General features: G+C 43.3%; 1 protein-coding gene and 1 pseudogene across 2 annotated transcripts in view, besides 1 other annotated feature; one reads left to right on the forward strand and one right to left on the reverse strand.

The window, feature by feature from the left end:
• Positions 1-26,529, forward strand: part of XKR4 (XK related 4) — a 440,027-nt gene that overhangs the window by 336,044 nt on the left and 77,454 nt on the right. The window lies entirely within an intron of this gene.
• Positions 11,126-17,250, reverse strand: SBF1P1 (SET binding factor 1 pseudogene 1; annotated as a pseudogene). The gene has a single exon (NR_027765.2). The product of NR_027765.2 is annotated as an SET binding factor 1 pseudogene 1 (transcript).
• Positions 15,651-16,034: a silencer, noted in NCBI's record as "fragment chr8:56366282-56366665 (GRCh37/hg19 assembly coordinates)". NCBI's record gives its function as "represses an EF-1alpha promoter that drives an FKBP-Casp9 reporter gene in an ReSE screen in phorbol 12-myristate 13-acetate-treated (for megakaryocytic differentiation) K562 erythroleukemia cells {active_cell/tissue: K562(+PMA)}" and the evidence as "EXISTENCE:reporter gene assay evidence [ECO:0000049][PMID:32094911]".

Below are 26,529 nucleotides of genomic sequence, written 5' to 3' on the forward strand. Positions count from 1 at the left end.
CAGAGTTCCTGTAAGAGCAAGAGAGGGTGGCTTGAGAATGACTCAATGAGCAGGGCTCTAGGAACACATTACCAGACAAAAAAAAAAGTTAACTAAGTCCCAATTCAATTCAAAGGGGAACACCTAGAGAAATGCACTGAAATAGCCTTGCATGCTCAGGGATAATGACTCATAATAGGCTTCTTCCTGGCCTGAAGATTATGAAAATATGGAAATAAGAGATAAAACACAAAGAGAGGATTGTGGTAGCTCATGCCTGTAATCCAAGCACTTTGGGAGGCCGAGGCGGGCAGATCACAAGGTCAGGAGTTCGAAACCAGCCTGGCCAACATGGTGAAACCCCGTCTCTATTAAAAAAAAATACAAAAATGAGCCGGGCGTGGTGGTGAGCACCTGTAATCCCAGCTACTCAGGAGGCTGAGGAAGGAGAATTGCTTCAACCTGAGAGGTGGAGGTAGCAGTGAGCCGAGATTGTGCCACTGCACTCCAGCCTAGGTGACAGAGCAAGACTCCATCTTGAAAAAAAAAAAAAAAAAGAGAGAGAGACTTATAAAAGAAGATGCCAAGAAATGAGACTGCCTAAGTCAATTTAAAGAAGAAATTGGTGATCTTCTATGCCTGACAATATGGCTTATTATATAAAGAAAGAAAACCCTCTGGTATGAAAACTCATAAAATGTTATATAAAATATATCTTAAAATATTGAGACATAGCTGAGTTGGCAGGAATATAAGGACAAGAGAGGCTATAAACAACAGGAAAGCACTATCTGGAGCAACAAGTATGATGCTAGCTTTCACTTGGAGAGCATCTGTTCATTTCTATTGACAGAGAAACTGAGTTTTAATGAGCCCAAGTAATGCAGGAGACCAATCTGAAATACCCACATAAAGCCAGAACCTCAAAGTGTGGGAAAACTAGGACGGGGGTGAGGGGTTGGAAATGAAGGAAACAGTCTTGCATAGGGACCTTGCGTAATTCAGCCTAGACTCTGAGTACAGAAGTAAATAAGATTAAAATGTCTTTTGTGAGAATTTCCAACTACCTGCTCACTCTGACATGGACATGTGTCTTAAGTTCACATTGCTTGTGTGACCTTAGAATCTTCAAGCTAAAAAAGTAATTGAATGTACCATGGGTTGATTTTTATCCCCAAGCACTCATCAGAAGCAAACAAATACTCTTTGAAAAATGCACATTAAATCCATGCCTCAAATAATGCCCACGTATAAAGTCCCAAAGAAGATGCGCTCCTTCCCAATCAAAATTCTCTAAACAGGGAATTCTCTAAAGAGACAAAATTCTCTAAAGGGAACAGACCACCATGAGTGTGAGGCAGAAGACCTCAGCAACAGATTGGCAAAGTCAGCAGATACTGGATCTATTAGATTCAAATATAAAATAAGTATTTTAAATAAAGAAATGAAAGCATGGTGCAAGAATAAGAGGCAATCAGGTAGAGTAGGGACAAATACAATTTCTGAAAGCAAAACATTGAAAAACTAAAATAAAATTTGTATGTGTAGATTAAACAGCAGATTAGATATAGCCAAAGAAGTAATAGGTGAAGGGGAAGAGAAATCTGAAGAAATGCAGCACAAAGAGACAAAGACATATAAAATTATTTTTAATGTCAAAATACATAGATGATAGAGTAAAAAGGGTTAACATATATTTAATTGTACTTCCAGAAAAATAAAATAAAGGAAATTAGAGATAGGCTATATTTGAAGAGGTAACAGCTAAGAATTTTTTAGAGTTGATTAAAGATGTCTATCTTCATACTCAAGAAGCCTAATTAATCTTAACAAGAATAAATCAAGTTAATCCTTAAGTAGACATAGTAGCGTGAAGCTGCAGGACGCCAAAAAACCAAAGATAAATAGAGGAATATAGGGAGCTGTAGGATGCAGAGAAGGATGAAGCCAGATTTTTACAAAGAAATGAGTTTTGTTACTAACAGCTAGGCTCTCAAGAACAGAAATGGAAGTTAGATGATGTCAGAATAGTATCTTCAAAGTGTGGAGAAATTTTAAAAAACTATCAGCCTAGAAGTGTGTATCCAGAATATAGTATGTTTTAGTTACAAGAGTGAAATATATTTTCATAAAACAGAACAGAAAATTTAATATTAACAGACCTTTACTAAAGAAACATAAAATATGTTGAACTCCAAGTAGAATGATTCTATAAAAAAGGTAGAAGATGCAAGAAGGAATTCAGTGGGTGCAAGGATGAGAGAAGATTACTGTGTAGGTAAATCTAAGCAAAGAGTAATGGTATTAAAACAATTTTAAAAAGTCTAATTTAGGGAGAGTTAGAATTTAAAATAGATATAAATTCCTCCAAAAATAATAGCATATTAATCTGGACAGAATGATCAGACTTAAAAGGAGTTATGATGTGGGAATTATTTGGGAGGTGGGCAAATATTCTGATTTAGACCTTAGGTTAAATATGCACATGAAGATTTCTAAGACAATCTCTAAAAGAATACAAATAGAGTGTATAACTTCCAAACTAGCAGCAAAAAAAAATGGAATGAGGGATACATTAATCAATCAAAGGGATGACAAGAAGAGCAGAAAACAAGAGCCCAAAAGAGTGGGCAAATATAAAATGTAAATTATATAGTAGAGATAGATATAAATATATTGAAAATAACAATGATTGTAAAGGAACTATAATCACAATTAAAACATGAGAGCAATTAGGCTCTTTCTACATCTACAATAACAATAATAATGATCCTAAAACCTAAGGATTCAAAAAGATTAAAAGGTAAAAATATGATTAAAAAAGATAGCTGGTACAATTATTCAAGTATCAGGAATAAATAGAAGCTGTCAAATACAACACAGCTAGTCACGGTGGCTCATGCCTGTAATCCCAATACTTTGCAGAGCTGTGGCAGGAAGATTGCTTGAGCCCAGAAGCTTGATCCCAAAAGCTTGATACCAGCCTGGACAACACAATGACACCTCATCTCTACAAAAAAAAAAAAAAAAATGTTTAAAATTAGCCAGGCATGCTAATGCATGCCTGTAGTCCTAGCTACTCTGGAAGCTGAGGTGGGAGGATCACTTAAGCTTGGGAGGTTGAGGATGCAGTGAACTGTGATTGGACTACTGCACTACAGCCTGGGTGACAGGGTAAGACCCTGTCTCAAGAAAAAACATAAAAAAATAAAGTACAGCACATTGTCAGTGATAGAAGGTAATTACAATTAAAAATAAATAAATCACCAGGAAAATATAACAGTTCTAAACTTACAGGCATTTAATAATATACCAACAAAATATAAAAGGCAAAGATTTTCAGAAATATGAGGAGAAATTGACATATTTTAACACAGCTCTCAGTAAATAATAGATTAGTAGATAAAAATGAGGAAGTATATAGAATATTTGAAAAATGCATTTTTTAAGCTTGATCTAACAATGGACATATGGGGAACATTGCACTCGACTCCATAATACATGTTATTCTAGAGTAATGCATGGATCATTTATGACAACAGACCAAATTCTGGACCCTAAACCAAGTCTCAATATATTTCAGAGTTGGTTTCACACAGATACATTTCTTTGACTACAACATTCTGAAGTTATAAATTAATTAAAAAAATATAACTTAATAAGCATTGGTCAGTTAAAAGGCATAATTCTCAACACAAACAGAAATCATGAATCGAAGTATAGAGCATAATGTAAATTGAAAAATAATTTGGATGAAATGCAATAAAAGCATGATATATTATTACTTATGAGGTATAGCTAAAACAGTGTTTAGAAGAAAACAATAAGTTTAAAAATAATATATTGGAAAAAGAAGAAAGACTCAAAGTTAGTGAGTTTGGTATCAAATTAGGAAGTTAAAATAGAAAATAATAAGCCCAAAGAAAATAGAAAAAAATGAGATTATAATTATGAAAACAGAAATAAGTAAAATGGAAAGACACAATACAAAAGATTAACAAAAATTTTTTTCTTTGAAAATAATAACAAATTGATCAATACCTAACAATGATGATCAAAAATTTAAGAGGAAAGCACAAATTTTAAAAAGAAATAAAAAGGGGCATTAATATATTTGCTGAAGAAAAGATATTACTAATAACTTTATGCCTAAAAATTTGAAAACTTGGTTGAATTGGACAAAGTTCTGGAAAAATACGTATTATAAAAGCTGATTCAAAATGAAATAGATACCACTTTATACTCAGTAGGATGGCTAAGACCAAAAAGATAGACCCTAACAAGTGTTGAGAAGGATGTGAACACATTGGAACCATAAAATATCAATGCTGGGAGTGTCACCTGGTGCAGTTGTTTTGGAAAACAGTTTGAAACACAGTTCCTCAAAAAGCTAAACACAGAGGCACCACACGAGCCAGCAATCCCATTCCTAGATATACGCCCAAGAGATTTGAACACATACGTTTCAGAAAAATTTGTACATTAAAGTGCATTATTCATAACAGCCAAAAATAGAAAAAACCAAGCATCTGTGGATTGATGAGTGAATGAATCAAACATAGTATAGCCATGCAACAAAATATTACTTAGCCTTAGAAAGGAATGAAGTACTGATAAATGCCACATGGATAAACCAGGAAACCATCATGCTAAGTGAAAGAAACCAGACACAAAATATCAAACGTTATATGATTCCATTTATATGAATTGTCCAGAATAGGAAAATCCAAGACACAGAAGGTAGATTAGTGGTTGCAATGGGCTAGAGAGAAAGAGGCGTGGGGAGTGACTGCTAATAGAAATGTGGTTTTTTTTGCAGGGGGTGATGAAAATGTTCTGGAATTTGGACAACACTGAATTGTACACTTTAAATAGGTGAATGTAATAGTATATAAAATATATCTCAATTAAAAAGGGCAATGGAAAGCCTAAATGTTCCATAATCACAAGAACATTAATCACTACATTCAAATCTTTCTAAAAAGACATCAGTCTCATTTGGTTTTACAAGTGAATTCTATAAACTTTAACAGACTTTTTATAGGTAAGAAAGTGAATACTACACAACTAATTTATCATGCTAGTATAACACTGATATATAAAACAGCAAAGGAATTCTAAGAAATAAAAATTATAGGACATGTTTCCTATGAACATGGACACAGAAATTATAAATAAGTATTAATAAACTGAATACTGCAATGTACAATAAGAGCCAAAGGCCAGTATCAGGTTAATACTTTTGAATATATATTACTATATAATATCCACATTAACAAATTAATGGAGGCACATCTCAATAGATGCAGAAAAACTTCTGATAAAATTCAACAACCATGAGTGATTTTTTTTTTTAATTCCACAGCAAAGGTCCTGTTCAATGATTGAGGTTGTTTAAAAAATCCTTAAGAGCAAGAGACATAGGGATTAGGAAGAAAGAAACAATACTGTTTGTTTGTAGATTTATAATCAGTTACATTAAAAAAAAAAAAAAAAAAAAAAAAAACAGAAGGAGGGGAGCAGTGGCTCACACCTGTAAGCCCAGCACTTTGGGAGGCCGAGGCAGATGGATCATGAGGTCAGGAGATCGAAACCATCCTGGCCAACAAGGTGAAACCCCGTCTCTACTAAAATACAAAAAAGAGCCGGGCATGGTGGCCTGTGCCTGTAGTCCCAGCTACTCGGGAGACTGAGGCAAGGGAATCACTTGAATCCAGGAGGCGGAGGTTTCAGTGAGCTGAGATTGTGCCACTGCACTCTAGCCTGGTGACAGAGTAAAACTCCGTCTCAAAAAAAAAAAAAAAGAAAGAAAAGAAAAAAAAAGAAAAAATCAAAATGGGCCAGGCACAGGGGCTCACACCTGTAATTCCAACACTTTGAGAAGCCAAGGAGGGCAGATCACTTGAGCTCAGGAATTTGAGACCAGCTTGGCCAACATGGCAAAGCCCTGTCTCTACCAAAAATATGAAAATTAGCCAGGCATAATGGCACACACCTGTAGTACCAGCTACTCAGGAGGCTGAGGCACAAGAATCACTTGAACCTGGGAGGTGGAGGTTGCAGGGAGCTGAGATAGCACCACTGTACTCCAGCCTGGGCAACAGAGCCAGACTGTCTCCAAAAACAAAAAACAAAACAAAACAAAAAAGACTCCTGCCTCATAATACAAAACAAAAGTAATTTCAGATGAATGAGGAAATAAAATATGAAAAGCAAAATGTTAAAACCATTAAGAGAAAGTATAGGAAGCGAACTCAGGATATGGATTAATCTCTCTTAAAATTACAGAAAATGAAAACCATACAGAGAGTTATTAATAAATTCAACTACATTAAAAATGAGTACTTTTTCTTTCATCAAAAGACTTCACAAAACAGGAAAGAGAAGTAGATAAACAGTAGATATTTCCAGGAAATATAATTGGCAAAGGATTAGTATCCAGAATATGTAAAGAACTTTTAATAATCAATTAAAAAGGTGAATGATTTGGGCATTTCACAGAAGAGGAAATACAAATTACTAATAAACTTTGCAAAAATGTGCTCCAGCATTTCAGCAATCATGGGAATATACATCAAAATCATTTTCAGCAAGTTGAAAATTTAAAAGTTACACAATGCCAAGGGTTGGTTAGTATGAGTAGTGACAGGGACTCTTGCGTACTGCTAATGGGAATGTATGTTACTTTATGTATTTTATGTACTATCACTTTAGAAAATAATTTGGCATCATCTATTAAAGTTTAATATACACAGCCCCAAAACTCAGCAATTCTTTTTCTATGCATATGCACTAGAGAATTCTTACACACACATCACTATATAAATACAAGATGATTCATAGCAGCATTATCTATAATTATGTATGGCAAAACAACCTAGATGTCCATTGATTGTAAAAAGGAAAAATAAAAATTGTGATATAGTCATATCATGAAATCCTATACTGCCATGAAAATGAATAAACCACAGCTATATTGACATGTATGAATTTTGTTTTTTTGTTTTTGTTTTTGTTTTTGTTTTGAAACAGAGTCTCCCTCTGTCGCCCAGGCTGGAGTGCAGTGGTGCGATCTCGGCTCACTGCAAGCTCCGCCTCCCGGGTTCATGCCATTCTCCTGCCTCAGCCTCCCTAGTAACTGGGACTACAGGTGCCCACCACCACACCTGGCTAATTTTTTGTATTTTTAGTAGAGACGGCGTTTCACTGTGTTAGCCAGGATGGTCTCGATCTCCTGACCTCGTGATCCACCTGCCTCAGCCTCCCAAAGTGCTGGGATTACAGGTGTGAGCCACCATGCCCGGCCACATGTGTGAATGTTTAAAACACAATGTTGGGTGGGAGAGGCAAATTACAGAAGGGCACTATACTTTGATTATTTTATATGTATTTAATTTTATATAAAGTGACTATATGAATATGTCTGCCCCATTAATATGAGAGTTTTCCTGAACTAAGGAAAACTCGCAAAATATTTTCTCCCTAAGAGAAAAGGCCCTAGAAATCAGAGTTTAAAATTTCTGGCCTGAAATTATGTCTGCTAGGGTAAGTTTTTAGACCATGAACAGATAAAAGTGGTTTCTCAGAGCATGTGCTGTCTAGGGCGGGAGATTAGGGTGGGATCCTTCCCACTCAGCCTGCTGATTGGGCACTATTGCCCCTAGTCAAATCAGAAGATACAATCTGTCCCTCCTCCGCCACACACAAAAAGCCTTTGAGAGAATGAGAAAAACAATTGTAAGAGTAACGGTTACCACAGTAAGAGTAGCAACAAGGTTATTTCAGGCATTGTTATTCATGTACACAGGTGTTCAGTACGAAGCCTTGCTAAATAGGCTGCCATGCTGTCAGCAATGCCAGCTGCATAAGCCAAATCTCCTAACAGAAAAGGCCTCCGACTGCATACTTCTGAGAATCTTCCAAAGAAAAATCTCCTTGTGCTGTGTGAGCCATTTCTGTCTGAAGGGCTGATTGATGGAGTGAGCCAATGAGAGATTACTGTTCCCAACCTGTAGCCTGTGTGCTGCTGCACTTTGTCCTCCTGCCTCACTCCACTCCAATACTTAGCTCAGCCCCCACCCTGAAACTATAGCGTTATTCCCAGGAAGGCAGAAAAAATCTATGCTGAAAGTTCAACTCAACCATCACGTGGAGGTACCTGGCCCAGCGCAAACTAACCTTGGAGCTTTTATCCACATGTTACAATGTGCATAACATGGGCTCAACCTCAGCAGGCACAGCCATTCTGCCAGGGTTTTGGCGCTGGGAGACGAATCAAAAACTTTAACTGACTGATTTCTTTTTTTTTTGACACAGAATCTCACTTTGTAGCCCAAGCTAAATTGCAGTGGTGCAATCTCAGCTCACTGCAACCTCCATCTCCAGGGTTCAAGTGATTCTCCAGCCTCAGCCTCCCGAGTAGCTGGGATTACAGGTGCACGCCACCAGTCCTGGCCAATTTTTTTGTTGCTGTATTTTAGTAGAGATGAGGTTTCACCATGTTGCCCAGGCTGGTCTTGAACTCCTGAGCTCAGGAGATCTGCCCACCTCGGCCTCCCAAAGTGCTGGGATTACAGGCGTGAGCTACTGTGCCCGGCTAACTGACCAATTTCAAGAGGGGATCAGTAGTAGTTCCATTGCGACCAGCTTGCCCAATAAAGTTTAGGGGACAGTGGCTTTATGTTTTCACCATCAGACAAATACCTACACAATGACAAGCAAAACCTTTGCCAGGCAGTATCTTCTGAAAGAGATTCCTGCAGTTATCCAAGGAAATAGCCACTTAGGTCAATGGACGTTTGCAGAGTGGAAGATAGTCTTCAAAGAGCAAACCCTTACAGAAAAGCAATAGTGCCTGCCCCAAATGTATGTTTATTGTCAAAAACCTCAATCCCTCTTTTTAGAAAAATTGGATAGGGAAAAATTCATTAACCCTAGAGAAGTAACTTAGTCCTATCTTTCACCCGATTTTTGTTTGAAATGATGGTATAGCCTACCTGATTGGGAAAAAAAAAAAAAAAAGCAGAGGTTAGGAGTGAGGAATGAAGCAACTAATAGTAAAAATACACAGATCTAGATGGTGAACCAGTGATCTGGACAGGACCTTTATGATCTGCCAGCCAAGAAACCATCAAAGCTAACTGTAGGAATGTGCTGATAATTAAAAGGTAGGTGAGCACAAAAGAATATTAGAAACCATTCTATGTGGCAAGACTGAAAAGAGGATATGACTTCTTAATAAATTAGATAGAAAGTGAGAGCCAAATCCATGCATCATTCCAAAGTTGAGATCACAGAAGGTAGATGCACCCTAGGGCTCTTGGTAGATGGACACTACGGCTCCCCTGAGAGGGGAGAAAGGGAAGATAACACACACAGACTAGCTTTTCAAAAAGGTTGGCTAAGAAAGAAAGGAAAGACCCCACATAATAACAGGGGTGGAAGTAAAGTTTCCATTCAACAAGTGTTTTGATTCTTTTACACTGTTTTGTACAGCTATGTTAGTGTCACTATCTACTATTATCATTATTCTTTCATTAAGAGTTTGTGGAGTACCATGAAATGATATCTGTCCACTACTGTATAATAGACAGCCCTGTAGTCCTCCCTTCACAGAAAAGAAACCGCTAATCACCAGCAGTTCTGTTAAAGATTGCAATAAAATTCAGGCAAGACATTTTTTCTTGAGAACTTCATTTTTAGAGTACTGTATTTTCTAACCTGTAGAATTTTAAGGGACAGCCCATAAATTCCTTTTCTTTCTAGCTGAAGAATTAGAAGTCTGAGACTGGGGAATTTGAGACTTCTTTAAGTCAGTTTTGATGCTTGGTTTATTAAACCATTCGTTTTAAAGGAACGTAACATTAACCTCTCACAGTAAATTGTGTCTGTCAAATACTTTGATATGATGTCAGTTGGCGAGTGAATGACACTGAGCCCCCACCCTCACTCCTGAGATTGAGTCAGCCCCAGTTACAAAGCTTGCTGGCAAGCAAACTGCCTGTCAAGTTTGCTAAAAAGAACAGCAAAAGTGGGAACAGCCAAGCTTGTACAATTTTGCAGTTTCTTTCTTTCTTTGGTATATTTTTAGGTTGCCAGGAATCGATTTCCTCTTCTATGCTTTATAAGTTTCTATTCATAAGCCTGGCAATTTATTAAACTTCATTTTATTCATATAAAATAGTCACTGCTCTGGAAAAGAGTGACTCAATAAAGCGCTCTTCTTCCCATACACCTGGACTTCTAGCCAGAGAACAAGATGCGGTGTGCACAAGTACCAATCAATGAAATGAAAAACACTTTATGAAAAACAAAGCTTAGTCTTGAAAATCTGAACATTTATTTTACAAGTCGCTGATTGAAGGGATTTTTGCAATCAAAATGAATCCAGGCAAACCCATGCTACTGGATTTTGATTAATTAAGCCAAAATCTGCACATCTGCGTAATGTCTAGCTCATAAGTGAGATGGTTTTAATCAGTGAGGAAAATGTGGTTTGGGGAAGAGGCTGCAGGTGGAGTTTGCTAACTAGCACATTTTATTTATTTTTCTCTTAGTGGGTTTCTACTCTTTAGTAAGGTTATTATAATCCTTGGTTTTCTGGTTTCCTGCCCACTATTTATCTCTCCCACTAAAGATCTCCCACATGCCCTGCATAACAATAATCAACTAAAATGCAGTAGTCAACCTGGTAGGCTGAAGCTTTGCTTCATAGAACAGGGATGAAGCTAGAAACCACATTTTGTGCATTATGTCTATTCCTAGCTTCGTAAAGAACCATGGTGAACCAGTCAAGACAGCCATGTATACAAATAAAGAAAATTATTACAAATAAAGAAAAATAAAGAGAGTGTTACTGGAAGGATAAGCAACTGCCTGTAGCTCTGTGATTGAGGCCTTACATATCTAAAAGAGCATTTTGCATTGAACTCTTCCAGTAGCCCTAAAATCCAATGTTATGACTTATTATATAAATAGTAAATGACTTGAACTTTTAGTCATGGTGGTATTAAGAGATTAGCAAATCCTCTCAGGTTAAAAAAAAAAACATATAAAATTGTCGAAAATTGACCAAAGGTGATAACAAATTGAGATATTTATTCTAGATTTATTTATTTATTTATTTATTTATTTTATTTTGCATTCATTCTCTCTTTATATAGACTCTGGTTCTAGAAACAATTCGCCTGCAGCCAGCTGGCTGGACTATTTACAGGCCCATTGCGGGCTGTACTTTGGCCACCTCCCGGCACGGTGCTCAGCTGTGACGCCGAAATAAGTTAGGGCTGGCCGGGCGGTGCGGGGCAGGGACTAGGGCTGTACACACAAGTGCTGGGGGCTCGGGGCCTCACTACTGCCGAGGGCCGGGCCGGGGCTGTAAACATGGCCAGGGCTGCCCTGCCCACCCCTAGTGGTCGGTAACGACTGGAAGCAGAGCAGCCAGGCAAGGTCGGGAGGCTCAGGCGTCCGACAGTCAGCTCTGGATCCGGTCCACCCACTGCTGGGCTGAGGGCACGTCCTGGGCACAAAAGTCGTAAACGCGAGGAGTTGTCTTCACGTCAAAGAAGGCCTTCTCATCCACGCTCTTAGGGGCACCCATGGTGGCCATGCCAGGTGCCACAGCCTCCACCTCCACCTCCACCAGGTCGATGACACCCTTGCACTCAGTGTCCACACGGTGGTCGTAGTAGCGTAGCTGGTGCTTGGTCTTGTCTAACATGAACCAGCGGGCCTTCCAGGGCTTCATGAAGGCCCCCTTCTTGTACAGAGTGCCCTCGTAGGACCTGTTCTCACTCTCAGCTGTCTGGAACTGGCTGTAAGGGTGCTGGTGCTGCCGCAGGCAGCCTGGCGGGAGCCAGATGCGGTCGAGCCTCTATTCTGGTCACTCTCCAGGCTGAGGCTCAAGGTGGAGCCCACGGGTTCCTCCTGCAGGTACATACCCAGCGAGCAGCGGTGGTGAGGTGCGGTGGACACTAGGAGGGAGCTAGGGGTGCCACGTCCATCTGGCCGGGCTTCAAGGCGCCATGCAGCCTTCACGCGGTCCCAGGTGTCCTTCCAGCGCTTAGCGGGTCGGCTCAGCTCTGTCTCCAACCTCTGCAGGCGTGAGATGGCGTCAGGCTGGGCTCGGGGGCAGCTGTGGTAGCAGGGCCACACCACACAGCACCTGCTCTGGGGAGCGCCTCCGTCAAACCGTTCTTCCTCAGGGGCTCAGGGGGTTCCCCGAGCCAGTTCCCAGTCATAGGGAGGGCCCTCGGCCAGCATCTCCTCAGCGCAGAAGTCCTACACTTTCAGGTTGGACACGTTGCTGTAGGGCCGCAGGACCTCTGTGTCCTCGGGTGCATTCATGTAGTTGTGGAACATGGCTGTCCTCTTGCTCATCCGGTCCACACAGAGACCTGCAAGGCAGCTGGCTCCTGCGCTGCCCCTTCTCCTCGTACAGCAGCCCCAGCTCAATGTGCTCATAGTCAGAGTCCAGTAGGAAGGTCTAGAAACAGCGGGACACGTGGTGGTAGCCGAGGAACTTGAGATAGAACTGGCTGAACTCAAACTCCATGGGGAACTGCAGGTGGAGCTGGTGTAGGCAGTCCAAGAACTACAGGAAGATAGTGTGAAGCCGCTGCTCTGTCCAGCCAGAATGTGGGCTCCCCCGTGGCTGAAGCGATGACTGAAGGACAGCCACTCCTTCTCCACCAGCAGGTGGAACCCCTCCAGCGTTCAGTAGAAGGGGTCTGAGAACAGCTGCACCAAGGATACCACATGGGTGGTGATGTCCCAGCCGTCCTCCAGGCCCATCAGCACGGAGGAACTTGAGTCCAGGAGCTCCCCCCTCCCAGCACCGACACCTGCAGCAGCTTGTGGATCTGAATCAGCCACTCTGAGTCCTCCAGCAAGCGCAGGAAGGAGACTAGGCTGGGCTCAGCAGTAGGGCAGCCCAGGACACATGCCTTCAGCAGCTTTTTGAAGCTAGCCTTCACCTGCCGCGCCTGGAATACCTTAATGGGCACCAGCTCTCACTGCTGCAAGGGGTCCGGCCGCACATTCTTGAGCTGGCCTTTGTCCCCGAGGATGTAGAGGGCTGCTTGCTGTGGCCACAGGAAGCCCGGGTCGGGGGCCGGGGGACACCCGTTGGCCTGGGGTGGGGCCATCGCCTCTCTGCCAGCTAGCTGGGAGCCCACATTGGCACCAAGCCCACTGCTGCGCCCACAGGTCCAGACACTGCCCCCACTTACCTCGGGGTGCAGTCAGTCTGGATGCCGCCGCCATGGGGTTAGACAGAGTGGTGACCCTGGCTCTGGGGCTGCCAATGTGACTCCCCACGTGGGCTGAGGAGAAGCCGCTAAGTGTGTTGCGTCCGGACGCACTGGAGTAGCGGGGCATGGAGCTGACAACAGCCTGCAGGTACTTCTCCTGCTCCAGGCTACTCGAGTCTGCCTGGAACTGGCCTGGAGAAGGTGCGTTCTGGGCCTTAAAGAGTCCGACTACACCTATGCCGTACAGGCCCCCAGAATGCAGCAGTACTGCCTTGGACCGCCGGATGCGCCAGCAGACAACGGTGAAGCGGTTCTGGCGGTAGCAGTAGGACACGCGCTGCAGGGCGTTGTCCTGGACACTCTGGGGCACGATCAGCAGCCCCGGGTACCTGCGGTAGATGGCATGCATGCGGTTGACCAGAGAAATGCGGAAGGATTCAGACTTGGCCCGGCTCAGGCGGCTGCTCAGGGGGCCCAGGCCAAGGCACTGATAGTCGCGGCAGCAAGCCCTTTCCACCAGGAGGCTGCTCATGGTCATGCCGTCCGAGGGCTTCAAGGCTGAGGACGGGGTCAGTGTGCTGGGCTCCAGCTCTTCCGACACTGAGATCTCCTCCTCCTGGTCCTCAGAGGGCGGCTGGCTCCAGTGCTCCTAGCTGAGTTGGGGTTGTACTTCTTGCGAGTGACATGCTGCCGCCCGATGGTCTTCTTGACGTTCTTAACCAGGTTCCAGGACAGGGTTCTGAGGGAAGGACCCTTGTTCTTGGTGACTCGGGGTGGCTGGCCGGGTGTGTAGGTAGAGCCCAGGGTGAAGGAGAAGGTGGCCCTGACATCCGGTGTGTACCGCAGCTTATGCAGCTGCTTGCAGAAGAGCTCGGCACTGTCAGACCCCACCTCCTCATCAAAGGCCATTTTCAGCAGCTGGAATGTGCAGGAGCGCAGCTGCAGCCCGTCCTGCAATAGCTGATCCAAAGGGGTCTGGATGCTGATGCATTTCTCCTTGGTCAGCGCGGCCACCGGGAAGGAGCGGAACACCACCTTCTCCCCCACCAGGGGGTCTGTGAGCATCCCCGTGAAGATGACCCGGTACGTAGTGAGGAAGAGGGCGCCCTCAGCTGGGAGCAGTGCTGGCCACCCCGCACTGCCCGCCCTCGCACCCTCCTCACGCCCATCCGGTGGCAGGTAGATGCGCAGGCCATCCAGCACACACTCCTCACCAGACAGCAGGTGCAGCCTCAATAGCTTGGGTTTCTAGATGGGCATCAGCCTCCGGTTCTCCCGCTGCACCGCCTCCAGGGTCTTAATGTTTATCTGGACGATGTCTGGCACCATGACATGCAGCCCCTTGAGGTGGTCACTGGTGACCCCACTCTCTGTGCAGACCTTGTCCACAAAGCGGTTGATGAAGTGGACCACAGCCCCAGCTACATTGCAGGTCTCTCTGTCCTCAAAGCCGCTCCCCGTGTCATAGCTCTCAGCCACACTGCCAGCCATGCTGTTGGGGACCAGGCTGTTGCTGGTGCTCTCCAGGTCACCCAGCTCCTGAAGCAGGCGGCTCTTGCTGCTGTCCAGAGGCAGCAGGAGGTAGCTCACGCAGTTGGTATAGTGGATGGCCTGGCTGAACACTGTGCTCTCCTCCTTCTGCATCAGCTCCTGCTGCTTCTCACCGCTCAGGGATGGCCACAGGCACCACTGCTCAGAAGCCACTTCTAGGGCAGAGTGCTCTCTCATCCTCCTGGGAAGGTGCCTCCCCAACCTCCTGGGCTGGGGCCTGATCCTCGGTGGGCTCCAGGTAAAGGACCCAGATATGAGTCTGCATGTCCCAGTAGAACACGGCCTCCCAGAACTGTGGCATGCTCCACACCACGTGCTCCTGCACAGAGCTGTAAGAGAACTACCTTACCCCTTGGCTCCGCTTCCAGGAAGGCTGTGACCAGAGGCAGCAGAGCAGCCGAGATGCCATGCTTGTCCAGAGAAGTGCAGTCCTGCAGGCAGCAGTTCATCATACTGATGACAAAGTCAAACTGCTGGTGGTCCAGGACCACCCAGTTCTGTTGCACATGCAGGTACAGTTCCCGGGTGAGGCAGTGGCAGGCAGCTCACCACTTCAGGGCCCTCAGCACAGCTAGGAGCAGCTTCTTGGCCTCAAGCATCTTCCCCTCAAACACGTGGGAGATGCAGTTGCCCACGACCTCCAGCTGCCCTGGGCTCTTGACCTGCAGCCTGCTGCACCCATCCAGTAGGGCAGTCATGCGGGGCCCTGAGGGCCCTGTGGTCCTCCTCCCAGCCTTCATGGCTAGGGGTGCACCTTGCATCTTGGCCTCAGCCTGGTCCACGATCCACTGCATGGCGCCCTCATCCAGCCAGGGGAAGGGCCGGGGCGCCCATCTCAGGTGGCTGCTGTCACCCGGCCTCTGCATGTTGTGCATCGCCAAGTCTGGGTACAGGTTCTTGTTCTTGCAGAGCTGCTCTACCAGTTCTTGGATGTGATGCAGGACTCATTGGGGGTGGTTCTCATCCACCCACCTCTGTGCCACATCGTGGGCCACCAGCTCATCAAACAGGTCCGTGGGGCAGTACGGGACCCCACACTCCAACACAAAGAGAGCAAAGGCCATGCCCTCCAGCACATTCATCAGGAAATCGTCCTCCACCAGCCCACACTGGCCCAGGAAGGCTGCCTTATGGAAGCGGATGACAGGCTCCGGGTGAATGCACACGACGTGCAGGCACCAGAGATAGCCCTGCAGCAGCTGATGGAAGAGCCGCAGCTCTTTGTCCTGCATATTCAAGGAGGAGGGGGACGTCATGGGTGGAGGGAAGGCGAGGTCAACCAACTCCAGCTCCGGGTCCAGGACCATTCTTAGAACACTGTGCGTCTGACTCTGCAGTGGCTCTAGCAAGGGTGGAATGTGCACACACTCAGGGATGGTCACCGTCTCTCCATCCAGATCAGCTACAATCACGTCTAGCAGCTCCTGGGTCTCTGCCTGGAAGGCCGCATTGACCCCGATTATGAAGGGCGTGGGTGTGCTGAGGGCCTCCAGCAGCTGGGCCGGCAGGATGGGCACATAGGTGAAGCTGTATCTGAGAGGAAACAGCAATGCCAGGAGGCTCCTGCAGGCATCGGTGAGCTGCTGGTAGCTCCGGGACAGGAAGAGAACCTCGTGCTCCATGAGGGTGGCACAGACCAAAGACAGTACGTTGGTGATGCCCAGCTGGCGGAAGAGCAGGCCACGCTGCAGCTGCTGATGGGCAGGGAGTCGGCCAGTGGAGTCTGGATGACCTGCCGGTCACCAGCCCCCAAATAAATCGTCCTCTACTAGCCCCCAGCCAGGGGCACGGTGCACGTCAGCAGGTTCCCAATTACGTTCCCTGGGAACACATTCAGGCCCTCCACGTGGACGGCATAGATGAGGCCGAGGCTGTTCCTGAACACCTCCGCATGGTCAAGTCGCGACACAGGTACCAGCGTCTTTGGGGCAAACATCTGGGCAGATGGGCAGGCTCTGTGGGCGACAGGTGCGTAAGGCCTCCCTCATCCTCCTCTTCCTCCCACTCAGTGGCATCCTTAGCGCGTGTCGTTTCCTGCTCCCAGAAGGTCAAGCAGCACAGTAGTGGCGCCCGGAGTTGATGTCGGTGAGGACAGCAACAAAGAAGGTCGGTGGATTCCTCTCGGGACACATCTGCCACCCGCTGGACTGGCAAAACAGCTGGGGGAATGGGTTGGCCTCCCAGTCCTTCTCCGGGAAGAACTGCAGAATCTGGCCCTGGCCTTTCCCACTCCCGCGCGGGTGCGGCCTGAATGCCACCAGCAGGAAGTAGTCTGTGATCCGCGCCATGGGGAGGGACGCTGGGCGGGCTCCGCGGCTCGGGGACTCGAGGGCTGCGCGCTCATGGCCCGGGCCTGGCCCTGGACCGCACACCCGGGACACCCCGGGTTCGCTCCGCGGCGGCCGCAGCGGCTGCGGCTGCGGCGGCGGCCCGGGCTCCAGACACCATCTTCTCAGCCAGCTGGCCCGCCTGGCTGTTCTTGAAAATGTTATAGAGCTTCAGGTAAAGGCAGCAGGAATCTGTGGCCCTCTTCGCAAAGACTACCTCCATCCTTCCTCCCCCTCAGTCAGTAAGAACAGTAATTTTACCAACCTGAAGTTCAACACGGAATTCATAAACTTTGGTGCTAGAGGGGGCTGGCTCAATTGGGCAATAGGTCAAAATACTATAGCCTTCCTCGCTAAAAGTGGAAACTCAGTAGGAAACAAAAAAAGAAAGAAGACTTGTAGCTTTTCCAGCTCAAGTTTACAATCACAGTTACAAGTGGTAGACCAATAAGAAATTGAATAGCGAGATCCTGGATATGATACAACCACAGTAGGATTAGATAAGATCACCACACATTTCTGGCCTGCAGATAACCAATGCATTTGTGCAGGTGAGACTCAAGAAAGCCAGGTGGGAAAGTAAGGCCATGGCAGACTTGAGAATGGGAGGACTCTGAATGTGCTTCCTGACCCACACAAAGATCAGTCATCAGGAGGTAGGAGCTTTATGGGTTCAAGGTGCTTGAGAAAAATCTGGCCAAATCTTGACTGATCTCTGAGTTATGCAGACAAAGGGACAACCTCAATAGCTACATGTCATGGGGAAGAAAGATTATACAGTTTAAATCTATGGAAATTACTTAATCAACAACAACATCCTCAGAAAAATTAGTCAGAATTCAGAGTTGCCATAATATATTATCTAAAATTTCCATTTTGGGGCAAAACAATTACTAAGCATGCAAATAATTAGGAAAGTGTGATCCATACTCAGGAAAAAAAGGAATCAATAGAGATTGACTCAGAGTAGCAGCTGGGTGCAGTGGCTCACACCTGTAATCCCAGCACTTTGGAAGGCCAAGGCGGGCGGATCACCTGAGGTAGGGATTTCGAGACCAGCCTGACCAACATGGAGAAACCCTGTCTCTACTAAAAATACAAAATTAGCCTGGCTTGGTGGCATGTGCTTGTCATCCCAGCTACTGGAGAGGCTGAGGCAGGAGAATCACTTGAACCCAGCGGGCAGAGGTTGCGGTGAGCTGAGGTTGCGCCATTGTACTCCAGCCTGGGCAACAAGAGCGAAACTCTGTCTTGAAAAGAAAAAAAAGAAGAAAGAAAGAAAAAGAAAAAAAGAAATTGACTCAGAGTAGACCTAGATGATATATGTGGCAAACAAATAATTAATGAAACGCATGATGTCTATGATTCCATAAATAATCTTTAGAGAGAAATAGAACCCAAATATTGGAAGTGAAAAAGAACCAAATAGAAATTCCAGAGTTGAAAAGTATTTTCAATATGAAGATTTTGCTTGTTATATCAACAGCAAATTTGAGATGAGGGGAGAAAGAAGCAGTAAACTGAAATATAGTTCAGTAGAAATATCTCAATCTGAAAAGTACAGACAATTTTTTTTGAATAAACATAGCATCAAAGGCATGTAGGGCAATGTTAAGCCTACCAACATATGTGAAATAAGGGTCTCAGAAGTAAAAAAGAGAAGGGAAGGGGAAAATAATTTATGTGAAAAAATAATAGATAAAATCCTCCAAAATTTGATGAAAGGCTGTCTACAAATATTAAAAGCTCCACAAACCTCAAATAGGATAAACATATCAGAATTCACACCTAGACACATCATAATCAATGACTGAAATAGAAATACAAAGAGAAAATCTTGAAAAAAGAAAAAAATGACTCATCAGATATGGAAAAAAATATGATTAATAGCTGACTTATCATTATAAACAGTGAAGACCAGGAAGCAGTAAAATGACATATTCAAGTGCTGAATTTTTTTTCCTTTTCTTTTTTTTTTTTTTGAGACTGAGTCTTGCTCTGTCACCCAGACTGGAGTGCAGTGGCACGATCTCTGCTCATTGCAAGTTCTGCCTCGCAGGTTCACGCCATTCTCCTGCCTCAGCCTCCTGAATAGCTGGGACTACAGGCGCCCACCACCACGCCCAGCTAATTTTTTGTATTTTTAGTAGAGATGGGGTTTCACCATGTTAGGCAGGATGGTCTCAATCTCCTGACCTTGTGATCTGCCCGCTTTGGCCTCCCAAAGTGCTGGGATTATAGGCGTGAGCCACCGTGCCTGGCTTTGCTGAATATTTTTAACTGTCAACCAAGAATTCTGTGTCCATCAAAACTATTCCCCAAAAAATAAAAGCAAAATAAACACATTTCCAAGTAAATGAAAACTGAGAAAATGCATTACTAGAAGATTTGACCTAGAAGCAGCACTAAAGGAAGAACTTTAGGCTTAACAAAATATTCCCAGCAGCTTAGGCTTAATAAAACATTCCCAGACAGAAACTAAAGTTCACGGGGAGAAATGAAGAGCACTGGAAGTGATAAAATGTAGGTAGATTGAAAGACCCCCTTTTCCACTTACTTTCCTTTTGAAAATAGACATTTTAAACAATTATTATAAAACTTTATTGTTAAAGTTTTACATATTCATACACACACAGTTAGGTTTATGGATATGTGTGTGTATTTATTTATGACGGTAATAATCAAAAAAGAGGAAAGAAATGGAATTATATTAAAGTTGCTGTATTTTACTGGAATTATGTTAGCATTAACCTGAGGTAGAACTACACACAAAAAAACCATAAAACGTTACTGTGAGAAATTTAAAGATCTAAATGAAAGGAGATATACCATGCTCACTGATTGAAAAACATTATTGTTAATATGACAGTCCTCCCCAGATTGATCTACAGCTGAAACTCAATCCATACGAAAATTCCAGGAGCATTTTTTCATAGACATAGACAAGCCAATCCAAAAAAAAATTATTTGGCAATGCAAAATACTTAGAATAGCCTAAACAGTTTTGAATAAGAAATACAAATTTGGTAAATGTATATTTGAAATGAGATAGTTCCCTTGACCCCTTCATGAGTCTTGTGAAGGGGTTGGCTTGTTTACTCAGCCCACAGGTCTCAACCCCTCATGGGAGGGGAAGCATGCAGGTGAGCAGGTGCAGAGGCTAGGATGAGTGCTTCTGGGCAACCAGCAGGAGCAGAACTCCATATGGTCCCGTGGCAGTGTCTAGGAGTTACCCATGACCCCTGGAGTTACAGTATGCCCTTTTAGTTTTGCTATCCGTGGATGGCTTAAGTATTAGACAGCTCAGTGGAGGGCCACTGTGACAGCCTTTTGCACCCACACCTGGGACCTTGTCCAGCATCCAGGAGGAGTCAGGTTGCATGAATGAATTGAAGGATGGTAAATGCAGAAGATTTTATTGCCAATGAAAGTGGCTCTCAGTGGGATGGGGAGCTGGAAAGGGAATGGAGTGGGAAAGTGGTCTTCCCCTGGCGTTCAGCCGGGAATGTCCCCAGACAAACTCTTCTCTGAGGTCCTACTGTCAAGCTGTCCCTCTGAAGTCAAGCTGCTTCTCACTGACATCAAGCTGCTGCTTCTCTTCTCTCCTTTTCTGCTGCACTGCTTTGCCCCTCTGCCAGTGGAGCCTAGGGTTTATATGGGTGCAGGATGGGGAGCAGGGCAGGCCAGGGTGGTTTTGGAAAAGGCAACATTCAAGGGGGAAAACAGAAATGCACATTCTCACTTTGGGTCACAGGTCCAGGCTTGAGGGGGAGACCTCACCAGCGACCCCACCCTTTTCTACCTAGTACCTCCTACTCATATCACACTGACTAATTTTGATACTAACCATAAAGCTACAGTAATCAAGAGTGTAATGATATTGGAGTAATAAAGACAGAGAAATAAATCAAAGGAACAGAATATAGAGTCCAGAAATAAACTCTTACCTTTATGGTCAATTGAGTTTTAACAAAGAGGCCAAGACAATTCATTAGAAAAGGAGAGTAATTTCAACAAATGATGCTAAAACAATTAAATATTCATGAGAAAAAAAATGATCATAAACCCTTGGCTTATATTAGACATAAAAACTACTCCAAAATAGAACATAGACCTAAATGTAAGTAAGAGCTAAAACTATAAAACTTTAGAATAAAACATAGAAGAAAATCTTTCTGGCCTTAATTTAGGCAAAATTTTACTTGATTGGATACCAAAAGTGTGACTCATTAAATAATATAATTGGAAATTGAACTTCATAAAAATTTTAAAAATCTGCTTTTCAAATGCCAACTTTAGAAAAATAAAGAAAACCATAGACTGAAATAAGATATTTGAAAATAACATATCTAATAAAGGACTTGTGTCCAGAATATATCAATAACTCTTACAACTCAATAATATAACAAACAATTCAATAAAAATAGATAAAATGTTTGAACAGACATTTCACTAAAAAAAACCAAAAACACATACACAGAAATTGCTCACAAGCTCATGAAAAGATACTAAACATCTTTTAGTAACTAGGGAAAAGTAAATTAAAAGCGCACACCCACTATAATGACTGCAATAAAAAAGATTGACAATACCAGGTGTTGGCATGAATGTGAAGAAACTAGAACTCTTAGCCATTGCTAGTGATGAAGTAAAATGGTACAGTCACTTTAGAAAACAGTTTGATGGGGTTTTTTAAAGTTAAATATTAATAATATTAATGTATGACCCACTAATTCCATTCCCAGGTAACTTCTCAAGAGAAATGAAATATGTCTACACACAGTTTTGTCCACAAATATTTCTAGCAGAATTATTCATAATAGCCAAATGCTGAAAAAAAAAAAAACCAAATGTCCATCAACTGGTGAATGCATAAACAAAATATAGTATATTTATACAACTGGATACTATTCAGCAATACAAAAGAATAACAACTGATAGATACAACAATAAAATGAACCTCAAAAATCTGGCAAATAAAGGAAACCGTACGCAAAGACTACCTATTGTATTATTCCAATTCTAAAATTCTAAATAATAAAAAAGGCAAAACCACAGTAACAGAAAGCAGATCAGTGGCTATCTGAAATGGGATGGGAGTGAGAATTGACTGCAAACAGGCATGAGGGATTTTGGAGTGATAGAATATTCTCAAATCGGATTATGACACTGGTTGTGCCACTGAATAAATTTGCTCAAAATCATTGAACCATATGCTTAAAACAAGTGGATATTATGGCTTTAAATTATGCATCAATAAGGCTGTTTTAGAAACCAATAGATATTTATCAAAGAAAATAAAAACAAAAAGTATGGGAGGGTGGAGCCAAGATGGCTGAATAGGAACAGCTTCAGTCTACAGCTCCCAGCATGAGTGACACAGAAGATGGATGATTTCTGCATTTCCAACTGAGGTATCGGGTTCATCTCACTAGGGAGTGCCAGACAGTGGGTGCAGGACAGTGGGCGCAGCGCACCAAGCATGAGCCGAAGCAGGGTGAGGCATCGCCTCACCCGGGAAGCACAAGGGGTCAGGGAATTCCCTTTCCTAGTCAAAGAAAGGGGTGACAGATGGCACCTGGAAAATCGGGTCACTCCCACCCTAATACTGTGTTTTTCCAATGGGCTTATCAAACGGCACACCAGGAAATTATATCCCTCACATGGCTTGGAGGTTCCTACGCCCACAGAGCCTTGCTCATTGCTAGCACAGCAGTCTGAAATCAAACTGCAAGGTGGCAGCGAGGCTGGGGGAGGGGCACCCGCCATTGCTCAGGCTTGAGTAGGTAAACAAAGTGGCCTGGAAGCTTGAACTGGGTGAGCCCACCACAGCTCAAGGAGGCCTGCCTCTGTAGGCTCCACCTCTGGGACAGGGCACAGACAAACAAAAGACAGCAATAACCTCTGCAGACTTAAATGTCCCTGTCTGACTGCTTTGAAGAGAGTAGTGGTTCTCTCAGCACGCAGCTTGAGATCTGAGAACGGGCAGCCTGCCTCCTCAAGTGGGTCCCTGAACCCGGAGTAGCCTAACTGGAAGGCACCCCCCAGTAGGGGCGGACTGACACCTCACAAAGCCAGGTACTCCTGTGAGACAAAACTTCCAGAGGAACGATCAGGCAGCAGCATTTGCAATTCACCAATATCTACTGTTCTGCAGCCTTCGCTGCTGATACCCAGGCAAACAGGGTCTGGAGTGGACCTCCAGTAAACTGCAACAGACCTGCAGCTGAGGGTCCTGACTGTTAGAAGGAAAACTAACAAACAGAAAGGACATCCACACCAAAAACCCAACTGTACATCACTATCATAAAAGACCAAAGGTAGATAAAACCACAAAGATGGGGGAAAAAACAGAGCAGAAAAACCAGAAACTCTAAAAATCAGAGTGCCTCTCCTTCTCCAAAGGAACACAGCTCCTCACCAGCAACGGAACAAAGCTGGACAGAGAATGATTTTGATGAGTTGAGAGAGGAAGGCTTCAGAACATCAAACTACTCTGAGCTAAAGGAGGAAGTTCGAACAAATGGCAAATAAGTTAAAAACTTTGAAAAAAATTAGACGAATGGATAACTAGAATAACCAATGCAGAGAAGTCCTTCAAGGACCTGATGGAGCTGAAAACCAAGGCACGAGAACTATGTGACGAATGCACAAGCCTCAGTAACTGATGCGATCAACTGAAAGAAAGGGTATCAGTGATGGAAGATGAAATGAATGATATGAAGCATGAAGAGAAGTTTAGAGAAAAAAGAATACAAAGAAACAAACAAAGCCTCCAAGAAATATGGGACTATGTCAAAAGACCTAATCTACATCTACTTGGTGTACCTGAAAGTGACGGGGAGAATGGAACCAAGTTGGAAAACACTCTGCAGAATATTATCCAGGAGAACTTCCCCAATCTAGCAAGGCAGGTCAACATTCAAATTCAGAAAATACAGAGAATGTCACAAAGATACTCCTCGAGAAGAGCAACTCCAAGACACATAATTGTCAGATTCACCAAAGTTGAAATGAAGGAAAAAATGTTAAGGGCAGCCAGAGAGAAAGGTCGGGTTACCCACAAAGGGAAGCCCATCAGACTAACAGCTGATAGCTTGGCAGAAACTCTACAAACCAGAAGAGAGTGGGGGCCAATATTCAACATTCTTAAAGAAAAGAATTTTCAACCCAGAATTTCATATCCAGCCAAACTAAGCTTCATAAGTGAAGGAGAAATAAAATACTTTACAGACAAGCAAATGCTGAGAGATTTTGTCACCACCAGGCCTGCCCTAAAAGAGCTCCTGAAGGAAGCATTAAACATGGAAAGGAACAACCGGTACCAGCCACTGCAAAAATATGCCAAATTGTAAAGACCATCAAGGCTAGGAAGAAACTGCATCAACTAACGAGCAAAATAACCAGCTAACATCATAATGACGGGATCAAATTCACACATAACAATACTAACCTTAAATGTAAATGGGCTAAATGCTCCAATTAAAAGCCACAGACTGGCAAATTGGGTAAAGAGTCAAGACCCATCGGTGTGCTGTATTCAGGAAACCCATCTCACGTGCAGAGACACACATAGGCTCAAAATAAAGGCATGGAGGAAGATCTACCAAGTAAATGGAAAACAAAAAAAGGCAGGGGTTGCAATCCTAGTCTCAGGTAAAACAGACTTTAAACCAACAAAGATCAAAAGAGACAAAGAAGGCCATTACATAATGGTAAAGGGATCAATTCAAAAAGAAGAACTAACTATCCTAAATATATATGCACCCAATACAGGAGCACCCAGATTCATAAAGCAAGTCCTTAGTGACCTACAAAGAGACTTACACTCCCACACTATAATAATGCGAGACTTTAACACCCCACTGTCAACATTAGACAGATCAACGAGACAGAAAGTTAATGAGGATATCCAGGAATTGAACTCAGCTCTACACCAAGCAGACCTAATAGACATCTACAGAACTCTCCACCCCAAATCAACAGAATATACATTCTTTTCAGCACTACACCACACCTATTCCAAAATTGACCACATAGTTGGAAGTAAAGCACTCCTCAGCAAATGTAAAAGAACACAAATTATAACCAACTGTCTCTCAGACCATAGTGCAATCAAACTGGAACTCAGGATTAAGAAACTCACTCAAAACTGCTCAACTACATGGAAACTGAACAACCTGCTCCTGAATGACTACGGGGTACATAACGAAATGAAGGCAGAAATAAAGATGTTCTTTGAAACCAACGAGAACAAAGACACAACATACCAGAATCTCTGGGACACATTCAAAGCAGTGTGTAGAGGGAAATTTATAGCACTAAATGCCCACAAGAGAAAGTAGGAAAGATCGAAAATTGACACCCTAACATCACAATTAAAAGAACTAGAGAAGCAAGAGCAAACACGTTCAAAAGCTAGCAGAAGGCAAGAAATAACTAATATCAGAGCAGAACTGAAGGAAATAGAGAAATAAAAAACTGTTCAAAAAATCAATGAATCCAGGAGCTGGTTTTTTGAAAAGATCAACAAAATTGATAGACCGCTAGCAAGACTAATAAAGAAGAAAAGAGAGAAGAATCAAATAGACGCAATAAAAAATGATAAAGGGGATATCACCACCAATCCCACAGAAATACAAACTACCATCAGAGAATACTATAAACACCTCTACACAAATAAACTAGAAAATCTAGAAGAAATGGATAAATTCCTCGACACATACACTCTCCCAAGACTAAACCAGGAGGAAGTTGAATCTCTGAATAGACCAATAACAGGCTCTGAAATTGAGGCAATAATTAATAGCTTACCAACCAAAAAAAGTCCAGGACCAGATGGATTCACAGCAAAATTCTACCAGAGATACAATGAGAAGATGGTACCATTCCTTCTGAAACTATTCCAATCTATAGAAAAAGAGGGAATCCTCCCTAACTCATTTTATGTGGCCAGGATCATCCTGATACCAAAGCCTGGCAGAGACACAACAAAAAAAGAGAATTTTAGACCAATATCCTTGATGAACATTGATGCAAAAATCCTCAATAAAATACTGACAAACCAAATCCAGCAACACATCAAAAAGCTTATCCACCATGATCAAGTGGGCTTCATCCCTGGGATGCAAGGCTGGTTCAACATACACAAATCAATAAACGTAATCCAGCATATAAACAGAACCAAAGACAAAAACCACATGATTATCTCAATAGATGCAGAAAACGCCTTTCACAAAATTCAATAACGCTTCATGCTAAAAACTCTCAATAAATTATGTATTGATGGGACGTATCTCAAAATAATAAGAGCTATCTATGACAAACCCACAGCCAATATCATACTGAATGGGCAAAAACTGGAAGCATTGAAACTTGTGCCTTTGAAAACTGGCACAAGACAGGGATGCCCTCTCTCACTA

Source organism: Homo sapiens, chromosome 8 (genome assembly GCF_000001405.40).
Source record: "Homo sapiens chromosome 8, GRCh38.p14 Primary Assembly".
NCBI classification, from domain to species: domain Eukaryota; kingdom Metazoa; phylum Chordata; class Mammalia; order Primates; family Hominidae; genus Homo; species Homo sapiens.